This window comes from Homo sapiens, chromosome 20 (genome assembly GCF_000001405.40).
Source record: "Homo sapiens chromosome 20, GRCh38.p14 Primary Assembly".
NCBI lineage: Eukaryota > Metazoa > Chordata > Mammalia > Primates > Hominidae > Homo > Homo sapiens.
The window spans coordinates 44,838,603-44,843,297 of record NC_000020.11 but is presented as its reverse complement, the minus strand read 5'-3'; the positions used below and the strand labels follow the sequence as shown (position 1 = coordinate 44,843,297).

The 4,695-nt window shown below is 44.3% G+C and overlaps 1 pseudogene; it reads left to right on the top strand.

Annotated features, from left to right (window-relative positions):
• Positions 708-1,647, top strand: PGBD4P2 (piggyBac transposable element derived 4 pseudogene 2; annotated as a pseudogene).
• Positions 1,648-4,695: the final 3,048 nt, after the last annotated feature.

The window sequence follows — 4,695 nt, the reverse complement described above, 5'->3', positions numbered from 1 at the left end:
CTTGATCATTGTTGCTGGGTAGATGAACAAGGTCACTAGCCAAGGAATGCAGGTAGTCCCGGGAAGGAACGCAGCCCAAGGTGCCCATGTAGACTTGTAACCAGCAGAACTGTAAGATGACACATTTGCATTGTTTAAGCCACTAAGTTTGTGGCAATTTGTTGTAGCAGCAATAGGAAACTAACATGGCTTGTCAATTGAAAATGGGCAAAATGATAGTATTGGTGATAGCTGTTGTGAAACCTCAGTTCTTATCTTCTTAGTTTAAAATAATTTAACCAGCCGGGTGCAGTGGCTCACACGGGAGGCCGAGGCAGGTGGATCACTTGAGGTCAGGAGTTTGAGATCAGCCTGGCCAACACAGTGAAACCCTGTCTCTACTAAAAATACAAAAACAGCTGGGCATGGTGGCCTGAAATCCCAGCTACTTGGGAGGCTGAGGCAGGAGAACTGCTTGAACCCAGGAGACAGAGGTTGCAGTGAGCCAAGATCGCACCACTGCACTCCAGCCTGGATGACAGAGCGAGACTCCATCTCAAAAAATATTAATAATAAAATAAAATGATTTAACCCATTTCCCGTTTGCCCTGAAAATACTTGTGCAGCTGCAGCATTTACCCTGAGATAACTCTCGGGCAGACATCATTCTACAGCATTCTCTTTTTAGTAGTGGTATTTCCATTTACAAAATACAGTGATTCTCAATCACTGAAAATGTCAAATCCTAGAAAACATAGCATTCCTATGCATGATGTTAATTCTGTGGTGAATTTATGGCACCAAAATGGTCTGACAAGGAGGTGACAATGTTTTCAACATTCCACAACGATACTGTTATTGAGGTAGACCACAGAAATGGAAATAAAACTAAGAGGCCATGTGTCATTGTGGAATATAACGAGAATATGGGAACAGTGGACTCAGTTGATCAGATGCTCTCTTCTTATCCAACTGAGCACAAAAGGCACAAGGTTTGGTATAAGAAACTCTTTCGCCACCTTCTAAACATGGCAGTGCGGAACTCCTACATCCTGCTAGAGAAGGACAATCCTGAGGACACGATTAGCCATGTAAATTTCAGACTGACACTGATTGGAAGAATGCTGGAAAAGCACCCCAAGCCAGGGTGGTAACGTCTTTGAGGTCGTCTGTGCTCTGATGATGTCACACCTCTTCACCTGTCTGGAAGACACTTCCCCAGGAGCATACCACCTACATCAGGGAAACAGAGTCCAATTGGTGGCTGCAAAGTCTGCTGCTCACACAACAGGAATGGCAAGAAGATCTGACGAGAAAGGTGAAATTTTTGTGTGGAATGTGATGTTCTGCTTTGTGTTGTTCTGGGCTTTGCAATTCACCACATGAAAAAAAATTAAATACTGATCATCATATACATTTCTGTTACATTAGGATTAGAGACAAGTTCTGTTTAGAAATAAATAACTCCGGGCATGGTGGCTCATGCCTGTATTCCCAGCACTTTGGGACGCTGAGGCCGGTGGATCACTTGAGGCCAGGATTTCGAAACCAGACTGGCCAACATGGTGAAACCCCATCTCTACTAAAAATACAAAATTAGCCAGGTGTGGTGGTGGGCACCTGTAATTCCAGCTAGTCGGGAAGCTGAAGCAGGAGAATCACTTGAACCCGGGAGGCAGAGTTTGCAGAGAGCTGAGATCACAACACCGCATTCCAGCCTGACAGGTGACAGAGCAAGACCTTGTCTCAGAAAAGAAAAGAAAAAAAAGAAAGAAAAAAGAAATAAATAACTCCAAGAAGAGATTTTATATTTTATTTTCACATTGAAAATCAGTCAGATTTGCTTCAGCCTCAAAGAGCATGATAATGTAAAGTTAAATGAGTGCTGGCAGCCAGCTGCACTTTTTTTTTTTTCCTAAATGGCAGTGGGTTAAACAAGAGACACACAGCAAAGGAGATGCAGCACAGAGCAATTTATTGCAAAGGAGAAAGAATATTCTGAAAGTTAGGTACAGAATAGACAGTCCACCCTGAGGGATGATTCCGCGCGGGGAAACTTCCTTTATGGGAGTCTTACCTAAGGGGATAGGAAGAGGTGTTACTAGCAAGCATGTTTTGGATGGTCCTCTGGGTGAACATGTGCGGGTAGCACATGCTTGTTCATGCACTGCATGTCTCAGTAGCATCTTAAATCTCCACCCAGGGGTGTGTTTTTTACTATTATAATGAACAAGGGTCAGTCTGAGGACAGGTAAAATCAAAATGCACATACTCTTCCTAGGAGAAATTCCCTACTGGAGATAGCTTTGCTTGCATGAGCTGGACTACAATGCAAATGCTGGGGCTTACTGTGTTGACAGTCACGGTCACAGCCACGGTTCCTGTGGCCTGCGGACATGTTACTTCCTTGCCTATCTATCCCGCCTCAGTATGTATTTCCTAGGTTTGTCTAGAGGGTTATATGAATTCACAGCAATTCCAGGTGCATAAAAGTTGTGGTAGCTAAACTAGTGGTCTACCAAAGATGTCCACATCCCAATCTCCAGAACCTGTGAATGTTACCTTACATGGCAAAAAGGATCTAGTAGGTGTGATTCAATTAAGGATTTTGAGATGGGGGCATTATCCTGGTGGACTCAATATAATTGAAAATGGAAGAGGGAGGTAGGAGGGTTAGAATCTGAGGAGACATGACAATGAAAGCAGAGGCGAGGGTGTTTGTGTGTGGTGGGGAGAGATTGATTTGAACATGCTACACTGCCAGCTTTGAAGACGAAAGAAGGGGCCACAAGCCAAGGAATGCAGGTGACTTTAGAATCTGAAAAAAGCAAGGGAACGAGCTCACTAAACACAGCCCTGCTGACACAGTGATCTCAGGAATTCTGACCGCCAGAACTGTAAGAGAATAAATTTGTGTTTTTGGCTGGGTGTGGTGGCTCACTCCTGTAATCCCAGCAGTTTTAGAGGTTGAGGTGGGAGGATGGCTTGAGCTCAGGAGTTCAAAACCAGCCTGGGAAACATGGACACCCTATCTCTGAAAAAAAAATTTTTTTTATTAGCTGGATATGGTGGTGCATGCCTGTAATTCCAGCTACTCAGGAGGCCAAGGCAGGAGGCTCGCTTGAGCCTGAGAGTTCGAGGCTGCAGTGAGCTATGATCATGCCACTGAATTCTAGCCTGGGCAACAGAGTGACAACCTGTCTCTGAAAAAAAAAAAAAAAAAAAAAAAAAAAAAAAAAAAAAAAGATGTGTTTTTAAGCCACTAAGTTTGTGGGATTTTGTTATAGCAGCCACAGGAAACTAACATAGTGTTCCATGAATGTTAGCTACTGCCATTAGGTAGACGCTTTAGCGTGATGTCAGGCACACGGCTGGTGCACTTAGTAAATGACAGTAACAATGAGTAGAATTCACCAGGAGGGGCACACCAGGATGCCTCTACCTTTTCTGCTTGACTTTTGGCATCTTCAGTGTCTGAAATTTGAGGTTTGTGTTTTTAAATAAAATTCTAAATCAGCGACTTTGTTCTACCATTCAGGCCTAATTTCACACTTTAATGAATGTTCATCATTTTGTTACAGAGACAGGCAGTGATGATAGGGAACACCCCTCAGAGTGGAAGTCAGATAGCCTGGGCCCGGTCGCAGCTCTGCCTCTATCTGGCTGTGTGACTTAGGTCATCTTGCTTCCCCTCTCTGGGTTCATTTTCACCATTTAGAAAAGGAGGGAATTAATGTAATAATAACGACCATTTTTGGGATAGCTACGATATACAATGTATACCTGAAGTTTTTTTGAGCCTCACAAAACATGTGCAAAGTATTACCCCCATTTTAGAGAGGTTAAGTGATTCACCCAAGGTCAGAGCATTGGTATTTGGCAGAGCTTGGATTTGAAATCAGAGCTGTTTGACTCTTTTTTGGTGAACCTCTTTACCTTTCCCACGTTTCTCTGACCTCAATGCCATCTTTAAAGGACAGCTTTGGCCAGGCTCAGTGGCTCATGCCTGTAATTCCAGCAATTTGGGATGCTGAAGCGGGCAGATCACCTGAGGTCAGGAGTTCAAGACCGGCCTGGCCAACATAATGAAACCCTGTCTCTACTAAAAATACAAAAATTAGCCAGGCATGGTGGCACATGTCTATAATCCCAGCTACTCAGGAGGCTGAGGCATGAGAATCGCTTGAACCCAGGAGGCGGAGGTTGCAGTGAGCCGAGATCGTGCCACTGCATTCCAGCCTGGGTGACAGAGTGAGACTCCATCTCTAAATAAATAAATAAAGGATAGATTCATGTGGCTCCTGGTTTTCTCTGTAGGTTACCATGAGAACGAGGGCGGGGCTGCGAACAGCCGTAAGACCTTCCTCCAGCCCTCTGCCTTTCCACATGGGGACCCTGGAAATGGGTCCAGTTTGTGTGCTCCTGAGAACCTGTGACTAAGCCCCTTGGAGGCCTCCCTCGATCATGACCCATTTCCCATCTTACCTTTTGTGACAGACACTACTAGTTACTTAACCAATGCCTTTACTCCCTTTCTTACTTAGTAACAGAATCCCAGTTTTGTTTGAATGACAATATGCCCAGTTAAAAATACCCTTGCAGCTGGTCCTCTGACCCAGTTCTGACCAATGAGATGTACAGGAAAATCTGGATGAGGCTTCCTTGGAATCTCTTGTCTTCCTCATACAAAGGGGTAGGGAAAACTCATCAGGAACA